Source organism: Homo sapiens, chromosome 6 (genome assembly GCF_000001405.40).
Source record: "Homo sapiens chromosome 6, GRCh38.p14 Primary Assembly".
In the NCBI taxonomy this organism is placed as follows: domain Eukaryota; kingdom Metazoa; phylum Chordata; class Mammalia; order Primates; family Hominidae; genus Homo; species Homo sapiens.
In genome coordinates, this window is record NC_000006.12 from 7,034,504 (window position 1) to 7,052,916 (window position 18,413).

The window sequence follows — 18,413 nt, forward strand, 5'->3', positions numbered from 1 at the left end:
CCTTATCCAAATAATTGAGAGCATGCTCCCTCCTTTCACACTCCATGATTCAGCCATCAAAGAACCAACCTCAGCCTCAGCGTAAGTATTTGCCTGTGTCAAGCAAAATCTACAAGAATACATCTCTCTCCCTCTCTCTCTGTCTCTCTCTTAGGTAGGTACGCAAGAATCTCCACATCAGTTGATCATAGTGGATTGGCTCTACCCAGTGTCATAAACTGAAAGATGACAACAAGGAATTTTCTGCAAAATGTCAAGTAAATAATACACACACACACACACACACACCACCACCACCTTCATCTTCAACTGTCGGAACTGCTCCTAGCAAGCTTTCTACTTCAGGGGAAGACAATGTATATTGTATAAAAAAAAAAAAAAGACATTTGGGAGTTGCTGATTTAAGATGCAAAAATGAAGGCTGGGTGCGGTGTCTCATGCCTGCAATTCCAGCACTTTGGGAGGCCAAGGCAGGAGGATTGCTCTAGTTGAGGAGTTCAAGATCAGCTGGGGCCACATAGCAAGACCTTGTCTCTACTAAAAATAAAAAAAAATTAGCCAGGCATGATGGTGCACACCTGTAGTCCCAGCTACTCAGGAGGCTGAGGTGGGAGGAGCACTTGAGCCTGGGAGGTTGACGCTGTAGTGAGCTGTGATTGTACCACTGCACTCCAGCCTAGGCAACAGAGCGAGACCCTGTCTCAAAAATAAAAAAATAATTAATTTTTAAAAAGGCAAAAGTAAGAAAATGTACATTTTTTTTTTTTTGAGAAGGAGTCTCGCTCTGTCGCCCAGGCTGCTGTGCAGTGGCATGATCTCGGCTCACTGCAACCTCTGCCTCCCAGGTTCAAGTGATTCTCCTGCCTCAGCCTTCCAAGTAGCTGGGATTACAGGCGCCCACCACTATTCCTGGCCAATTTTTTTTGTATTTTTAGTAGAGACAGGGTTTCACCATGTTGGCCAGGCTGGTTTCGAACTCCTGACCTCAAGTGATCCACCTGCCTTGGCCTCCCAAGGTGCTGGGATTACAGGTGTGAGCAGCACATCCAGAGAAAATGTACACTCTTAACTGGTATGGGGCAAAGAAGATTTTCTGGTGGAGTGCAGTGGCTCACACGTGTAATCCCAGCACTTTGGGAGGCCAAAGTGGGTGGACTACTTGAGCTCAGGAGTACAAGACCAGCCTAGGCAATATAGGGAGACCTCATCCCTACGAAAAATTTAAAAATAAAAAATAAAAAGGAAGTTTTACTATTTGTCTACCCTCCCCCAATAAAATATAGGCAGGAATGGTATAATAAGTATTAATATTTGTTGAGCAGTTATCACATGCTACACTTTGCATGGATTATCTCATTTAGCCCTCACGACAACCCTATAGGTAGATACCATTATTATTCCCATTTTACAGGCAATGAACTGAGGGTTAATGAGTCTGGCAATGAGCCCAGGAGTTTGAGGTTACAGTGAACTATAATTGTGCCACTGCATTCCAGCTTGGGTGACAGAGCGAGAGCCTGTCTCAAAAAAAAAAAACAACAAAAAAAAACCTAGTAAGTGGCAGAACCAAGCTATGCACCCAGACAGTCTTACTTCAGGGCTCATTTCCTTAACTAGCAAGCTCTGCTGCCTCCCTGCAGAATGTGGTAGACAGGAATCAGAAGACTGGCTTGGCCTCAAGACCTCCCTCTTACTTGCCACTAGCTTGTTCTAACACATTGAGTAAGACAGAGGAAGATCTTAACATGTTTGACCAAACAATGTTCTACAGGTATTTCCTAGCTCTTCCATTTTGGTTTTCCAGAAACCTCACATCTGACTTCGCTGAATCTTAGGGACTGCCGGCAAAGGACATGAAGCAATCTTTGCAAATGAGTTTTTAAAAGCAGAAAGAGCTGTGTCGGAGGTTACAACCTACTGAAAGGTGAAGCCAAAGTTCTAACCCTTTAGCCTAGCCCTGTGGGGTGAGAGTGGGGTGAGAATGATCACGGGTAGATCCCCAGCTCCCAAGGCAATGACAGCAGCTGCAGACCCCATGCTGTACAAACTGAAGCTATACTGAGTGCACACATTGATATGCTTGATGTAGTGCACCTACACAGTCTGTTAACATTTGTGTAGTGACAAATGGATGCAAAGCTCTGTACTAAACATGACACCACCCAGCTTTGTCTTCCAAGAGCTGATGATCTGAGGAGATATGAGACAAATAATCATGCAAATGGCTCCCAAATATATAGCAGAAAACAAGAAGAAAGAGCTGTTATTAAAAGCTTGGGGATTACAGGAGAGAGACAAGCAATGGAGATGGGTGAGGTCAGACCAAGAATTGAGATAGTCTTGGGGCGGCAATGACAGGGTTGCTTAACCTCAGATTTTGGTATAGGCTCCATAAAAAGACAGTGTTGCTGGGGCAGAGTGATCCTTTGGTCTTTTTTTTTTTTTAATTTTTAGAGATGGGGGTCTTGCTTTGTCACCCAGGCTGGAGTGCAGTGGCATGATCATGGCTGACTGTAGCCTTGACCTCCCAGGCTCAAGCAATCCTCCCACCTCAGTCTCCCAAGTAGCTGGGACTATAGGTGCACACCACCACGCTGGAAAAATTTATATATATACATTTAATTTTGTAAAGATGGAGTTCCCCCTCTTTCCTGATCTTGAACTCCTGGGATCAGCAATCCTCCCACCTCATCTTCCCAAAGTGCTGGGATGACAAGTGTGAGCCACAGGTCCTTATCATTATGTTTGAAAGAGGAAGCACTAATGCCACATTTACTTTTCTGTTTCCTACTTTCTTAGGGGAATGTTCAGCCTTCTTCTATACAGGGGAATTTCTACAGTAGTAGGTGTTCAGTAAATATCTGGCTGGATCAATGAATTGGGAGGTGGGGGTGTCTTACGTTGGTGCATTTATTCAACACATTCTCACTTATTCAACAACGCCTGTGGTGGTTTTAAAGTATGTCCACAAATTCTTTGATATGCTGTCCTTCTTCAAAAGGTGGAGGCTAATTCCTTTCTTATTAAGTGTGAGCCGTATATAGTCTCTTCTAACAAATTCAATGTTGCCAAAATGGCCAAAATAATGATCCAAGTGAGTCTAGGACATACTAGGCATAGTGGTCTCCTCTTTGCTCTTTCTCTTAGATCACACCTTCTGGGGGAACTCAGCTGCCATGTCGTAAGGACACTCAAGCAGACATTTGGAAAGGCCCACGTAGTGGTGAGTAGCTAAGGCCTCCTGCCATCAGCCATGTGAGTGGGCCATCCTGGAAGATCATTCAGCCCCAGTCAAGCCTTCAGATGACTGCAATCTCATGAGAAAGCTAAGTTGCTCCCAAATTCCTGACCCACAAAAAACTGTGACATAATAAATGCTTGTTGTTTTAAGCCACTAGGTTTTAGGGTCTTTTGTTATGCAGCCATAAATAACTCATATAGACCTCTACCCTACTGTGTGCAAGGCTCTGTAAATATAATAGTATATAGAATCGCTCTATTCCTGGCCTCACAGAGCTCATCTATTAGACAATACAGACAAAAACCAATTAATATTGAGTGACAAATGCTCTAATAGGAAGAAAGAGGCCCCAGTGGGTGGGAGTTTGAGGATGGGGTAGAGATGAAAACAACCTAGCCCAGTCTGGGAGGTCATAGCTAAGTGATATCTAAGCTTTATCTCTAAAAGACAAGCAAGAATTAGCCAAGTGAAAGCTTACAAGGAGAGGGGAGACCAATCCAGGCCAATGGATTAGCATGTACTGAAGACCACATAGGCAAGATGTAGTATGTGAAATTGGAGAATTATGAGTGTGAAGTGGGGGAATAGAGGAAGAGTTGATGCCAGGTCATACAGGGCCTTGTGAGCCATATCAAAACATTTAAATTTTATCCCAAGAGCAGTAGCAATCCTTGGAGAGTTTTAAGAAGGTAAGGAAACTCACATTATCTGAGTTGCATGAATTGGCAGGAGCAAGAGTCCACACAGGGAAGAGATGATGGTGGCATGAACTGAGGTGGCAGTGATGAGGTGGAGAGAAATAAAGAGATATGCGTAATTATGGAATGGAAAGTGTTGAAGGATTAGCTGTTGTTGTGAGAGGGAATGGGAAGAATGGAAGATGATGCCAAAGCCCCTAGCTTTGGCCAATTGATGGCCAGTGGTGCCCTTCTCAGGGATAACACAAGAGGGCTTGGGGCAAAGAGGACAAGTTAGGTGTTGGACCCTTTGAGTTTGAGGTTACTCAAGCCACAGACTTGTTGTGCATACATGTGCACCCAAGAAGAAAGATACAGTCTGAAGACAGAGATTTGGAAGCCATTCACATAAAGCTGACAGTGGAAGCCCTGATAATGAATGAGATCTCTGAAAATGAGAGTGCCTTGAGATGAGAGAATAAATATATCTTTGGAAACCATGAACCCTGAAGAGACAAGCAAAGCATCATTCAGAGAGAGGAAGGAAACCAAGAGAACAGATTCATTCAAAATATCACAGCAGCAAATGATGTTGAGAAGTCAGATAAGAACTGTGAGGTGCCCCTTAACTGTAGCAACAAAGACATCGCCCAAGACCTTGACAAGCAGGTCAATTTCAGGGATGCTCTCTTGAGGTCAAGGAGTTCTTTTTTTTTTTTTGAGGCAGAGTCTCACTCTGTCGCCCAGGCTGGAGTGCAGTGGCACGATCTTGGCTTACTGCAAGCTCTGCCTCCCGGGTTCACGCCCTTCTCCCGCCTCAGCCTCCCGAGTAGCTGGGACTACAAGCGCCCGCCACCACGCCCAGCTAATTCTTTGCAGTTTTAGTAGAGATGGGGTTTCATTACGTTAGCCAGTATGGTCTCGATCTCCTGACCTCGTGATCCGCCCGCCTTGGCCTCCTAAAGTGCTGAGATTACAGGCGTGAGCCACCATGTCAGGCCATAGTTCTTAATAGTTTTAAAAATATTAGAAAGATTTATTTTTCTTTTCTTTCTTTTTTTTTTTTTTGAGATGGAGTCTAGCTCTGTAGCCCAGGCTGGAGTGCAGTGGCGCGATCTCAGCTCACTGCAACCTCTGCCTCCCAGGTTCAAGCAATTCTTCTGCCTCAGCCTCCTGAGTAGCTGGGATTACAGGTACGTGCCACCATGCCCAGCTAATTTTTGTACTTTTAGTAGAGACAGGGTTTCACTATGTCGGTTAGGCTGGTCTCGAACTCCTGACCTCGTGATCTGCCTGCCTTGGCCTACCAAAATGCTAGGATTACAGGCGTGAGCCACTGTGCCCAGCCGACTTCTCTTTTTTTTACGAAGAAGGGAGAGCTACTCAGCCACTGGCATTGCCCCCCAAAAAATTCCCTTTCTAAGCAGATACTCCTCATTGGATTAGCAAAATGGCCCCCATGTTTTCCCTAAGGCCAACAGAGAGGTCACTAAGACAGGGTCATGTGAAATATAGCAGGAGCCTCCTGCTAATGGCTCAGGAACCAAAAGAGGCGTCAATGGACATGCTTTAAAACACAACCAACTTCACCCAATGTCCTTCCAGAACACAGGAAATAAATTATTTCTTTTCAGAGAAACACAGGGGAGAGGACTTAATTTCCAGTGCTGTCACAAGTATAGGCAGAACCCTGTCCAGAAGGTCCCTAGCATGTATTTCTTTCTCTAGACAGCATAGCCTCAGTGCCTGAGTTTGATATTAGCTAATCACCCTGCGCTCATTACTTAGCCTCCTCAAATCTCCATTCCTTCATCTGTAAAATAAGGGTGAATATAGAACTCACCACAAAGGGCTGAGTAAGGATTGAGATTACTGAGCACAGTGCTTGGCACACAGTAAGAATTCGGGGGAATGTTTTTGCTATAATAGATGGTAAAGTTGTGCAATGAATATTATCACTACTAGATTCAAGTCACCATCAGAAATCTTTCTCTTTGCATTGTTTTTTGGTGTGTGTGTTTGTGTGTGTGTGTGTTTATGTCTTATGAGTAAAGTGCCAACATCTTAACAAGGTGTCTCATCTGTGCAAAAACCCAATCACTATGCTTATGAACTATAAAAGGGCTTCTCTTTGCCTTGTAACTTATGACTGCAGGTTTTTCTCAGCCCTCTCCATCACTACTTGCACCTCCACCACCCCTTTTCTGCCTGCAGCCCTGCTCTTAGAAGCAGGAGATAAGTCTCATTATTTTATTTTATTTTTTTTTGTTTTGAGACAGTCTCGCTCTGTCACCAGGCTGGAGTGCAGCGGCGCGATCTCACCTCACTGCAACTTCCGCCTACTGGGTTCAAGTGATTCTCCTGCCTCAGCCTCCAGAGTAGCTGGGACGACAGGCGCGCACCACGCCAGCTAATTTTTGTATTTTTAGTAGAGACGGGGTTTCGCCATGTTGGCCAGGATGGTCTCAATCTCTTGACCTCGAGATCCACTGGCCCCGGCCTCCCAAAGTGCTAGGATTACAAGCGTGAGCCACCACACCCAGCCTATTTTATTTTATTTTATTTTAGAGACAGGGTCTCTCTCTGTCACCCAGGCTGGAGTGCAGTGGTGCAAACTCAGCTCATTGCAGCCTCCACCTCCTGGGCTCAAGGGATCCTCCCACCTAAGCCTCCTGAGTAACTGGGACTACAGGCACACACTGCCATGTCTGGCTGATTTTTTTATTTTTTATTTTTTGTAAAGACAGGGTCTTGCTATGTTGACCAAGGTGGTCTCGAACTCCTGGCCTCAAGCCGTCCTCCCATCTCGGCCTCCCAAATTGCTGAGATTACAGGTGAGAGCCACCGCACCTGGCCTCATTATTCTCATCACACACCTGATGTCTAGTATAGTATAGTGCCTGGTACGTAGCAGTACATCAATAATGCTGTGGGATGAGTTAATAATAAATTCCAAGTGTATCCCCCAAAAGGTACTTATTATAGCAGAGAAATGTTGCTTCTAGGAGCAGAAAATGTCCTCTATGAGGAGCCAAGGAAAGGTTGGGGAGTCTGAAGAGAGAAGGACCTGAGGCTTGCACCATATTCTGGATGAGGAGCATGGAGATCACTCTCAAATGAAGTTTGGCCAGATAGTGAGCAAAGCAACAGAGCAGCCAGACTGCTCAGCAGGAAGAAAAGATAACAGCTCTGTGGGGTTTTTTTTGTTTTTGTTTTTCCCCTTGCAGGGTAACTCCCTTCATAGGCAACAGACCAGAGAGAGCAGTTGAAGATGAATGTGTCTCTCTTGGCAAATGCTGAGGAGCGTGCACTTCTATCTCATCATTAATCAGGAGGTAGAAGAGAGAGGGTTCTGGTGACCAGTGATGATTTGGGAACACCAAAAAAGACAAACAAACTCCAAACATAATCCAGTGAAAACCCAACAAATTACATGACATTTCAAACCCAGCAGGAGACAAAACGCAGACCCCAAAGAGGAAGTGATGTATTCACCCTAGCCAAACAAAGAGGTCGACACTTTGAAGAGGAAAAAGAAAATCAAGTACAAAGGGACAGCCTAAATTCCTTAAAAGAGCATGGAGGTTGTGACTGAGATCCCATTCCTGGCCTCTGAATCCTGTCTCCCACAACCAGTCAAGCCTGTGGTGATCCATGGACTACCATGTTCTGGAATGAACCAAGAGAAATTAAAGCCTCCTCTCCTCGGAGACAAAACTTCATGCAAACGACATCACTTGAAGTCACCATGGAAAAGAATAGATGGAGTGGGGAGGGGGCAGCATGGAATGAATAGTGGGAAAGGTGACCAAAAGACCTTGAACGATATTCATTCAAAGATAGGCCTCAAGTTGACAATAAAGATGGAATCTTCCATGTAATGCTGCTTTGCAGTAATCAGATCTCTAATCCCAGTTATCGCAAAGAAATGCAAACATGAATGAGGTATTGCCAATGTCTCTAGGGGAATTGCATTTTCATCCTTCATTTAACTGAGAAACTGAGGTGCAAAGAAATGAAGGAAATCGCTTAAAGGATGACAGTGTGAGTCAGCAGCCCGACCAGGAAGCCGGGGCTGCGACTCCTCACTTCCTGGTTTTCTCTACAAATATGAAGAGTACATTCCCTTCCTCTCAGAATCGGTTTGTGGCAGCAGTTCTCTAGCTTAGAAAGGCAGCTTTCCAGGAGAGAAGGCACGGGCATTCGGCTCCTGCTGGGGAGGGGCGAGGTAACCCGACATCAGGTCCACAGGTCCACAGAAACTGAAATTTCTTCCAAGATGAGGCTTTCCCCTTCCTTCGCCTGGAAAACCAATTTGCGCTGATGCCCTGACTCCCTCTCCTTAGAGTGTCCTCCCTGCTCACCATTCTAAGGCAGCGGCTGCACAAATTAGCAGTGCTCTTTGTCCCTAGAGCTCCAGAATCCGATTGTGTTCCAGTGTGTGCCGCAGGCCTCGATGTGTGCTGTGCATTGTAAAACACTGGCACGTGCTTCTGCAAAGAATTTTGTTCTTCTTAACAGCCACCAGAAAGTTTGTTTGGCCATCCATCCCACTGAAGCAAAAAAGGAGAAGAAAGAGAAGAAAAGGCTGTGAACCGCTTATTAGAAGCTTCCAAAGCTGAGTGGAAGTTTAACCAATTTCAAGGAAAGCACACACACACTAAACCCCCCACTGTTTGAGGACTTTCCACGTTTGCATGCACTGGAGCTGGACTCTGGAGCAAAGGGCAGCAGTGATTATTCTAGAGGTTATGTCATAGATGGTGTAACATTATCTTCTGCCCACTGGGATCTTATCAGCCATGTGTGCCTGGTCTATTTTGAGACCCATCTGAGCCTGCTACCTGGGACATGGGTAGTGTTAACAAATCAACATATGGCTGACAAGAGTTTAACCTGCCTCGTCTGGTGAAGAACAGTCAGAGCAAACTGTCTGTCAGCAGCAGCAGCTGAACTTGTGATATGAAATATTGCTTTCTTGCCTAAAAGCAGGACAGAGAAAGAAAAAGAAAAAAGAAGCAAAAGAAATATTGCTTTGTCTTCCAAATAAAATTTAGAGGCTCAGTGTAAACTGCAACTGTGACCCCAATCAACCAAGTAGGTGAAACACACACACACACACACAGAGACACACACACATCTTTTTACTTAGATAGCTTTGTTATTCAGCAAGAAGACAAATTATTAAAAAGTTGCCGGGCACAGTGGCTCACCATGCTGTAATCCCAGCACTTTGGGAGGCTGAGGCGGGTGGATCTCCTGAGGTCAGGAGTTCGAGACGAGCCTGGCCAACATGGCCAAACCCTGTCTCTACTAAAAATATAAAAATTAACTGGGCGTGGTGGCAGGCGCCTGTAGTCCCAGCTACTCTGGAGGCTGAGGCAGGAGAATCGCTTGAACCCGGGAGGCAGAGGTTGCAACGAGATCCCGCCACCGCACTCCAGCCTGGCAACAGAGTGAGACTCCGTTTCAAAATAATAATACTAATAAAATAAAAAAATTAAAAGTTGAGCTCTTTCCACGAGTGAGGGCTGAGAGCTGGCATCCTAGGCAGGCAGGCCAGACCCAGGGTGTGCAATGGCCCTATTTGTTGCCTTGGTCTTACGTACGGAAGACCTCGGCTTCTCTCTTTGCCATTAGCAGGAGTCGAATTCTCAGGGCCTAACCTCACGTTCTATTTTCAGCTATTTCCACAAAGCGTGCAGCCTCTTAGTCTGCCGTCTTCCTGCTGTCCCTCACCCTCCAGGCCAGCAGCAGTGCCGGCCACCTGCCAGTAGCACCTGCTCCCTGCCCTGCTGCCTTGCTGTTTCCTTGGGTCCAGAAAGCCGTCCCTTCCTCCCAACTCTCAAATATAAGTGGCTTCCAGGCAGGCACGGTGGCTCACACCTGTAATCCCAGCACTTTGGGAGGCCAAAGCAGGAGGATCACTTGAGGCCAGGAGTTCAAGACCAGCCTGGGCAACATAACAAGACCCCATCTCTACTTTTTGAATAACTTTTTCTACTTTTTGATAAACTTTTTAAGTGGCTTCCTCTTATTTGTCTACCCAGCGAGTGGTGACGATTTATGTAGTGTAGGGGAGATCTCAGAAGCTGTCAGCCTGAAACACCTGGCCTTTGTCTTCCTGAAGAGAGGGGTTTATTTCTGGCAGACAATCCTACTGGATTTAAAGTTGGGGTGGTTAGAGAGGCTGCTTCTTCATCCATCTTGAAGTGGACATGATGAGGAAAAAATACACTGAGGAAAATGGCCAGTTAAAGACTTCATTATTGGCCGGGCGCAGTGGCTCATGCCTGTAATCCCAGCACTTTGGGAGGCCGAGGTGGGCAGATCACCTGAGCTCAGGAGTTCGAGATCACCCTGGCCAACATGGTGAAACCCCGTCTCTACTAAAAATACAAAAATTAGCCAGGCATGGTGGCAGGCACCTGTAATCCCAGCTACTCGGGAGGCTGAGTCCAGAGAATCACTTGTACCGGGAGGCAGAGGTTGCAGTGAGCCGAGACTGTGCTACTGCACTCCAACCTGGGTGACAGAGCGAGACTCTGTCTCAAGAATTAAAAATAAATAAAGACTTTAGCTGATGGTAATATGGCTCAGGGTCCTACAAAGCTCATAGAAAGTGAGAGGTGCCTTCTCGTCAAAGTACCTAAGAAAGGCTGGGTGGGAAGAGAAACCAAGAAGATTCTCCACTTTTTTAGCCACCATACGTGCCAAATAGTGGAATCTTCCAGGGTGCATGTGTTATTTGTGACTCAATAGCTATTGTGTGCAACAGCCTCTTCATTGACTTCTCCTCAGACAAGTCATAAAAAAAAAAAAAATCTCCCTTTCTTTCAGGAAAGTTAGAAATTCATTTGCCTCCAAAATAATTTTCTCTTCTTTCAGGTAGAGAGACCTAAATAAGTCTTTCAAAGTCTCCCTTTTTTTGATGACTATTTCTAGAAGTAAGAGCCAGAAAGGGCAGAATAATTAGGTTAAGTCACATCTAGCCCTGTGCCATCTGTGCATGGAGTGTGCGGATGATCTCGGTAGCGGTTAAGCCACTTACTAACCTCCTATCCACTGGGAAGTGATGAAGGAAGAAGTGACTAATGATGCTAAGGAGACAGCTGTCCTTATTTGGGCTCAGTTTACAGCAATTCTTGCCTTTGCAAAGATAACCAGGGGTTCAAAGCATGACATCTAAGAGTTGGTGAGGAAGCCCCATCTGTGCTAGTTAGGGCTTTGGAGTCACAGACTTGGGTTCTAATTCTAATTCTGTCACTCACTGGCTGCATGACCTTAAATTACTTAGCCTTGTTAAGCGTAGATTCCTCATCTGTAAAATATGGAAGAAGAAGCTTTGCCTCTTAGGGTTGTTGTGAAGATTAGCATAAAATGCCAGGTGCAGAATAAGGGCTTAGTAAGTGGCAAATTATTATTGGGGAATAAAATAAATGAAGAGGATTTTGTTAATAAACAAGATTCTTCCAACTAATCCCACCTTCAATTATGATTTGGGAGCTCAGTGTATCATCCTTCGCACTGGAACCCTGCTCAGCAATGATGCCATCTGCTTGTTTGCTTGCTGTAATAATCCAAGACTAAAGACCCTTAAAAAAAAAAAAAAAAAAAAAAAGATACCCTGCTGAAGGGAAAATTATACAGGGCAAGTAGAGATATTCAGAGTAAAAATATACTTAGTAATAAAACCTTCTGTGTCACTATGAACACCATTTGTGTTTCTGACAAGTACCACTCAATTTTGTTTTCATGACCATAAAAAATTCCAGCAGAGACGTAGATCTTCAGTATTTCAGGTCTGGTAGTGTGCATGGATTGTAAAACCTTTTCTTGGCTTTGGGCACCAAAGTAGGTTAGGTAATAAAGAAGTTGCAAAGAAGAGATGTTTGGAGTTTCCAGTTTTGATAGCCAAATGATAAAACAAATGTGATGAGAGCATAGAGTTATCCCCAACACCGTTATATCCCATAAAATCAATCAAAAAATTATGTTACATAAAATAAGGATAGAGAGAGAAAGAGAGAGAGAGAAAGAGAATGTCTGCTTTACTAAATTGATTTTCTCTCTCTTCAGAGTTGGTTCTCCTTTTTTGACCCCCACCACATATATAAGACAATAGCTTTACTTTAGTATTCATTAATTTAAAAGATACATAAAAATTAGCTGGGCATGGTGGCATGCACCTGTAATCCAAGCTACTCGGGAAGCTGAGGCAGGAGAATCACTCGAACCCGGGAGGCAGGGGTTGCAGTGAGCCAAGATCACACCACTGCAGTCCAGCCTGGGTAACAGAGGGAGGCTCTGTTTCAAAAAACTAAATACATAAATAAAAGATACATAACATAATAATAATGTAAAAATTTATGAATGTAAAAATGCTTTTAAATGAATTTGTGGTTTATTAATTAATGACAAAGACATACATTTGGACAGAGTGCCTTTATATGTCAGTACTATTATTCCATCTGCAGGAAGTGCTGGGTGCACATAAAGCACTGTTGACCCTTTGCAGTAACTCGGTGTCCCTGAGGGAGTATTTAGCCATCAACTGGGAACCACTGACTTCGAGCAGAAATATGATGTGAAAGCAGGAAGGGATGCTCAACACATCCTTAAAGTGTTTTTCTGTAATTTAAGCAAGGTGAAATAAAAATATTTTTCCCCTAAGCATCTGAGCCTGTGAAGTTAGTCTCATCTTGCAATTAGTTTCATTTCCATGTGCTTAGAAATCCAGCCCATGTTACAGTTTTTCAGCTCCCTACAAAACCAGAAGTTTTGCTAATCAAATATTTATTGAATGATAGTGATCTTGCTTATAACCTCAGTGGTGTCTATCCCTTAAATTAACCACATTCATTGTGTTGTCTTTGTGAGATTTTGATCGTTTCCAGATGCAGATACACCTTATATGAATAGAAAGAGAAAAAAATCCAAAGTCATTCAAAATAGAAGCAGAACCATAGCTACCACATGTGTTTTAAATATATTACCCATACAATTAAGAATACAGTATTATAAACCAGCTCTATAAATCTTGTAATAAAAACAGAAATGCACCAACTCTTCTTAGCCACAAAGAGGCCCTTAATGATACTATAGATTCCATGATGATGTGGCGTTGGGACTAACTTAATATTCCATAGGAAGAATGTCAGCTGGCTGAAATAAATAGAGCGTATCCCTTTCTGTGCATAACTAAAATGAAGGGAAAATATTTTTCTTTCATATAGACAAAAAAGAAGCTCTTTTTATTTTGGAAATTCTTAAAGATACATAAAAGTAGAGATAATAGTATAATGAATTCTCACATGCCTACCACCCAGTTTCAGCACATGGCATCTTATTTCATTTATATTTTTCATTTTCTAACCCGCCAAAAAAAAAAAGCTGCATTATTTTAATACCAGACATCACATCATTTTGGTGCAAATATTTCATGATGTATGTCTAAGACATGAGAACTCTTTGAAAAAAACAGTATGATCACAAATTCACTAATACTCAAACCAGTAACAATAATTCTTTAATAGTCTTTAATAGATAGTATTCAAATTTCCCCAAACATCCCATATTTGTTTACTTTTTAAAATCAATTGTATCTTCAACTTTTAAGGATAGTGGCTGTTTTTAAGGAACTCACATAGCTGAAATCCCCTTACAGTTCCTCTGAGAAATATGTCTTTAAATAAGCGCTTAGTCATGGGACATTTTATCACTGATTCAACAATCACTCTAGGCCTTTATTGAGATGGGCCCAAACACTGCACAGCAGTGGAAACAGGCTCTATTAAGACTTCTTCTCACTGTCTCTTACGGTAGGGCAGTGCCTTAAAGTGCACAGAGCTGGGGGCGGGGGATCCTTGATTCTAATCTTCATGTGGTTGTTATATAACTGTATAACCTTGAGCATATCTCCCTTCTTTGTCTCAGTTTCCAGGCCTGTAAAAAGAGTGGCTTAGCCTATGTAATTTCTAAATTTCTTTCTGGCTTTTAAGATTCAACATGTTTGGTTTTATGTCTATGTCAAAAGCTGTATCGGCATGGTGTTATTTTCAAAAATGAGAGAATGTCTATTGTAAAAGAGAGTGGGTCTTATGAAATCATAAGACTAGTTGAATCCTGACTCTAGGTCCCTTGGGTAAGTCGTTAACCTTTTTAAGCCCTAATGTCACACTGTATTACAATTATTTATTTTACATATCATCTCTCCTATCAAAAGTGAGTTTCTAGAAAGTAGGGTTTTCTCATATTTGTCTTTCTATCATCAAAGTCCAGGGTCCTGTCTGGAGCCTGGTAGGTTCTCAATAAGTGCTTGTTACATAAATGAATGGGAGGGTATGCAATCTGAGGGTAAGAATGGTGGCTCCATCTACCTTACAGGATTACTGTACCGTGAAATGAGCTAATGCACATAAATTCACATTTTATATTTGTATTTTAAACATTCTAAGTAGGATATTTTATTTGCTTATAAAAATCTCTGCTTTACTTCTTACCTTTAGTAAGGGATTAGTGAGGTAGATTTTTCTTTCCTATGCTCAATTTTTTTTTTTTTTTTTTTCCAGAGACAAGGTCTCACTCTGTCACTCAGGCTGGAGCGCAGTGGTGCAATCACAGCTCACTGCAGCTTCAAACTTCTGGGCTTAAGCAATCCTCCCACCTCAGCCTCCTGAGTAGCTGGGACCACAGGCACATGACAACATGCTCAGCTAATTTTTTGTTTTAAGTTTTTTGTAGAGATGGATTTTTTCGTTGTTGCCCCAGGCTGGTCTCATCCTGACCTCAAGAGATCCTCCTGCTTTGGCCTCCCAAAAGGCTGGGGTTACATGTGTGAACCATCACATCTGGCCTTCTATCTCCAATTTCATTTGTCTTTGGAAAATTGTACATGCCTCCTGCTCTTTTTTTTTTTTTTTGAGATGGAGTTTCACTCTTATTGCCCAGGTTGGAGTGCAATGGTGGGATTTTGGCTCACCGCAACCTCCACCTCCCAGGTTCAAACGATTCTCCTGCCTCAGCCCCCCGAGTAGCTGGGATTACAGGCATGCGCCATCACGGCCAGCTAATTTTTTGTATTTTTAGTAGAGATGGGGTTTCTCCACGCTGGTCACGCTGGTCTCCAACTCCTGACCTCAGGTGATCCTCCCGCTTTGGCCTCCCAAAGTGCTGGGATTACAGGCATGAGCCACCGCGCCCAGCCTAGAGTACACTTTCATGTGCTCACCACCCTTTCTTATTTTTCTATAACAATGTTTTGGGGGACTTTTTGTAAGTAATTGGGGAGTGGCTTAGTGCCAGTCTACTTTAAATAAGACATTTTTATTGACTCCTACAAATTAAAATAATGCAGGAGGTAGTGTAACATGGATTAGATATATCAGATGCATGAATTTTCCGACATACTAAATGTTCACTGGAACCAGTTCTCTAAAGATGGTCCTGATTCAGTTTCCACTACAGCCAAATGTGAACAGGTCTGCCTCTGAATGTTTCCTCAAATGGTCTTTCTCTTTTTGGTAATTATACTAAAATTTAGTTTATCAGTTGATGATTCCTAATGACACCATTTTGAAACGTGAACACTTCTCTCAACCCTGTTCAAATCTGGCACAATTCCTAGAGCAGCAGAGCAGCAGTACCCAGAAGGAACACTAGCCCTGGGCAAAATCCTCACCAAAAAAAACCAAAAAACAAAAAACAAAAACGGTGACTGAACAAACATACTTAGGAAAGTTTTCATATTATAAACTCTTCGTGGTGATTCACAAACACCTTAGCACATCAAAGATTCTGAAAGGCCTTACACTGCTGTATTTATTTCTTGTGTAACAAATATACTTGATTTAACTTGCTTAACTCAGCATTTCTCAAACTTCCTTATTTTATGGACCACTAAGAAAGAAAATCATAGCCAATTAAACTATGACCCAATGCTAAGATGGCACCAAATAGAAGACATCAGAGATGTTAACATTCAAAACTGTGTATATCTGGGAATAAATGTGTTGTGATATATGACCACAGAGCCCTTTTTTCAAATATAACTTAAGGCCATATTGAAGATTTAGTTCTTTGGAATGGTATTCTGGAAAACTACGCTCTAGCCTAGACTTTCATAATTATTTCAGAGGAAAAGGGTAGAAGGTTATTTTTTTTTTCATTAAGAAGTAAAAGAAAATAATGTCGTGGGATTAGAGAAAAGAGAAAAAGAAGTAAAAGAACCAAAAATGTTGAATCCAAAAAAAGAGAAATACTGTTCACCCGTTCGTGGTGTGAAATAAATTGACCTTATCCAGTTAAAAAGTAATTTCCAGGTACACATCACAATGTAACTGTCCAGCTGGCCTCATGAACATGCAAATCTCTTTAAATTAAGATGGCATGTAATTAAATCGTTCAGCTGGTTGCCAGGCTTCTCCGCGCAGGTAGTTTACTTTCGCTTGAAATAACCCCTTTGCGTCTGAAGATCCCCACACCCTGAAGTGACTCAACTTCATAACACCACCATTGAAATCTCTAGCTTTACAGGCAATAGGCTTGGCCGGAGAGCATCAGTAACTCGGCAGTGAGTCAGATGAAGAGCTCTGGGGAGGAAGGTTGGAGGCTAAGTTTGCTTGCAGGGAATGGGTGCGGTTGAGCGCCCGGGCCTGGCCAGAGCCTCCCAGTTTACATCCTGCTTCCCTGTTGCCAATCCGACTCCCGGGAGCCGCCCTGAAGGGGTGTGGGCAGAACTTCGGGGACATGGGGTACCATCCCAGGCCGTCCCAGGTTCCCTGTACTTCTGGATTTAGCCCCACTGAAGCTTCAGAATGTCTGAACTACATGAATTCACCTTCCGGGACGCGCACCTGGGACTAGCGAGACCGGCAGGGCTTTGCGCGGTCCTTAAGACCCGGAACAAACACCTGATGACCCCGGGGTCACCTTCACACTCTCCTCTGCCCCACACCTCGTAGCCCCCGCCGGCGGCCTCCTTCCAGGCTGGGGCCTGCCTCTCCAGGCGGCGTCCCCCGAGGGCGGCTGCGGCGCGGAGCCGGGCGGTAGGGCAGCAGCCCTGCGGCGGCTCGGGAAGAACAACTTGTGCGAACTGGGCCGCGCTTCCCCCGGGCGCTGCATCCGCCTTCCGAGATGCTGGCAGCCCGGGACGGCCTAGCGCGGCCCTCTCCTTATTTATCCACCGAGCACAGTTTCCATGGTTCCGCCGCCATCCTTCCGCCCCCTTCCTCGCGCGGAGCCCAGCGGCAGTCGAGGGCCTGGCTGGTGTGGGGCTGCGGGGTGCGTGCGCGGCGCGGGGCCCGGGCGTATTTTTCAAGCCTCGGGGCGCGTGGGTGCGCCCCCCAACTCCTGTCCCCCGAGAGGCTGTGCCACTTCCGCAGCCCCAGCCCAGTCCCTTCCCCACTGGGCCGCACCTCCAGTCTGCCCGCAAGGCGCCGCGCAGCCCCCGGCCCGGCCCGGTGGCGCGGGGGAGGGGCGCGCCGGGCAGGCAAAGTTGCTGAGTTGCTCTGCACGCTCAGAAGTTGCAGCTGCGACGGCAGCTTCCCTCCCCCTTCCTGCACTGGGCTACCCGGAACGCACACCCACCCGTCACCACCCGCTACCTGCCCTCGCCCCTGCGGCCCCGGCCGGGACTCCACAGCATCCCCACCCTGCGCCCGCGAGGAGCCCAGGTTTCCAGCGGAGTTGGGCTGGGGGCGGGCGCACCCCATCTCCCCGCTCCGCCTCGGGGGAGGCGGGTGATGCGTGGAGGGGGTGGTTAGGATCCCCTCTACCGAGTCGCCGCTTGCCTGCGGCGCTTTTGCACTTTCCTAAGCTGAGCAGCTGTGCAGGCGTCGCCCGCCGGCCCCTGCGCCCTCCTAGCAAAGCGGGGTTTGCAGAACGGGAACTGGGCGGTCTTCCCATTCCCTCCCGCAAGGAATTTTGCTGTGAGGGTGGAGAGGGGGCGGCGGGGGGCTCGGCTTGGGGCTGAGGTTGCCAACAGGTGCTCGCGGGTCCATGTGACCGAGGAGGGAGCGCGCAGGGAAGCCGGGGGTGGGGGTGGGGGCGGGGGCAGGCTCCCTCGGCGTCCCCCCCGTAGTGCCCGACGCCGGGTGCACCCAGCCGGCAGCTGTCTGGGGAGTGCTCGCGGATGGCTCCTCGGAGCGCTGGCGCCCTCGCGGCCTGTCTGGGAGGAGGAGGAAGAGGAGGGGGAGGGAGGGGACGCGAAAGTGGGTCAGGAATGTAACTGGATGCTGCATACCCCCCACGCACACCCCCGCTGTGGCCGACCGAGGCGGCCAGCTCCAGCCTTGGAAAGCGAGTCATTTGCTGTTGTGGTTCCCCAGCATTATCGGTGGACGGTTACCAGGGGATCCCGAGGGATGTGTTTCCCTGTGACCCTTTGGGAAGGAAAACTTGGTTGCCTCAGTAACCGAGTTTGGCTTGGATGCAATGATGCAGTGAGTGTTCTAGGTGAGCCTGGCCGAGAAAGAGGCTGCAGTTGCACTAGGGGG

At 45.5% G+C, this 18,413-nt stretch overlaps 4 annotated features.

Moving 5' to 3' along the window:
- Nucleotides 7,963–8,851: an enhancer, noted in NCBI's record as "H3K27ac-H3K4me1 hESC enhancer chr6:7042699-7043587 (GRCh37/hg19 assembly coordinates)". NCBI's record gives its function as "activates a minimal SCP1, AML or CMV promoter by ChIP-STARR-seq in primed H9 embryonic stem cells {active_cell/tissue: H9 hESC(primed)}" and the evidence as "EXISTENCE:reporter gene assay evidence [ECO:0000049][PMID:30033119]".
- Nucleotides 16,803–17,304: an enhancer, noted in NCBI's record as "H3K27ac hESC enhancer chr6:7051539-7052040 (GRCh37/hg19 assembly coordinates)". NCBI's record gives its function as "activates a minimal SCP1, AML or CMV promoter by ChIP-STARR-seq in naive H9 embryonic stem cells {active_cell/tissue: H9 hESC(naive)}" and the evidence as "EXISTENCE:reporter gene assay evidence [ECO:0000049][PMID:30033119]".
- Nucleotides 17,136–17,255: a silencer, noted in NCBI's record as "silent region_16879". NCBI's record gives its function as "represses an Ori minimal core promoter by ATAC-STARR-seq in GM12878 lymphoblastoid cells {active_cell/tissue: GM12878}" and the evidence as "EXISTENCE:reporter gene assay evidence [ECO:0000049][PMID:35858748]".
- Nucleotides 17,286–17,735: a silencer, noted in NCBI's record as "silent region_16880". NCBI's record gives its function as "represses an Ori minimal core promoter by ATAC-STARR-seq in GM12878 lymphoblastoid cells {active_cell/tissue: GM12878}" and the evidence as "EXISTENCE:reporter gene assay evidence [ECO:0000049][PMID:35858748]".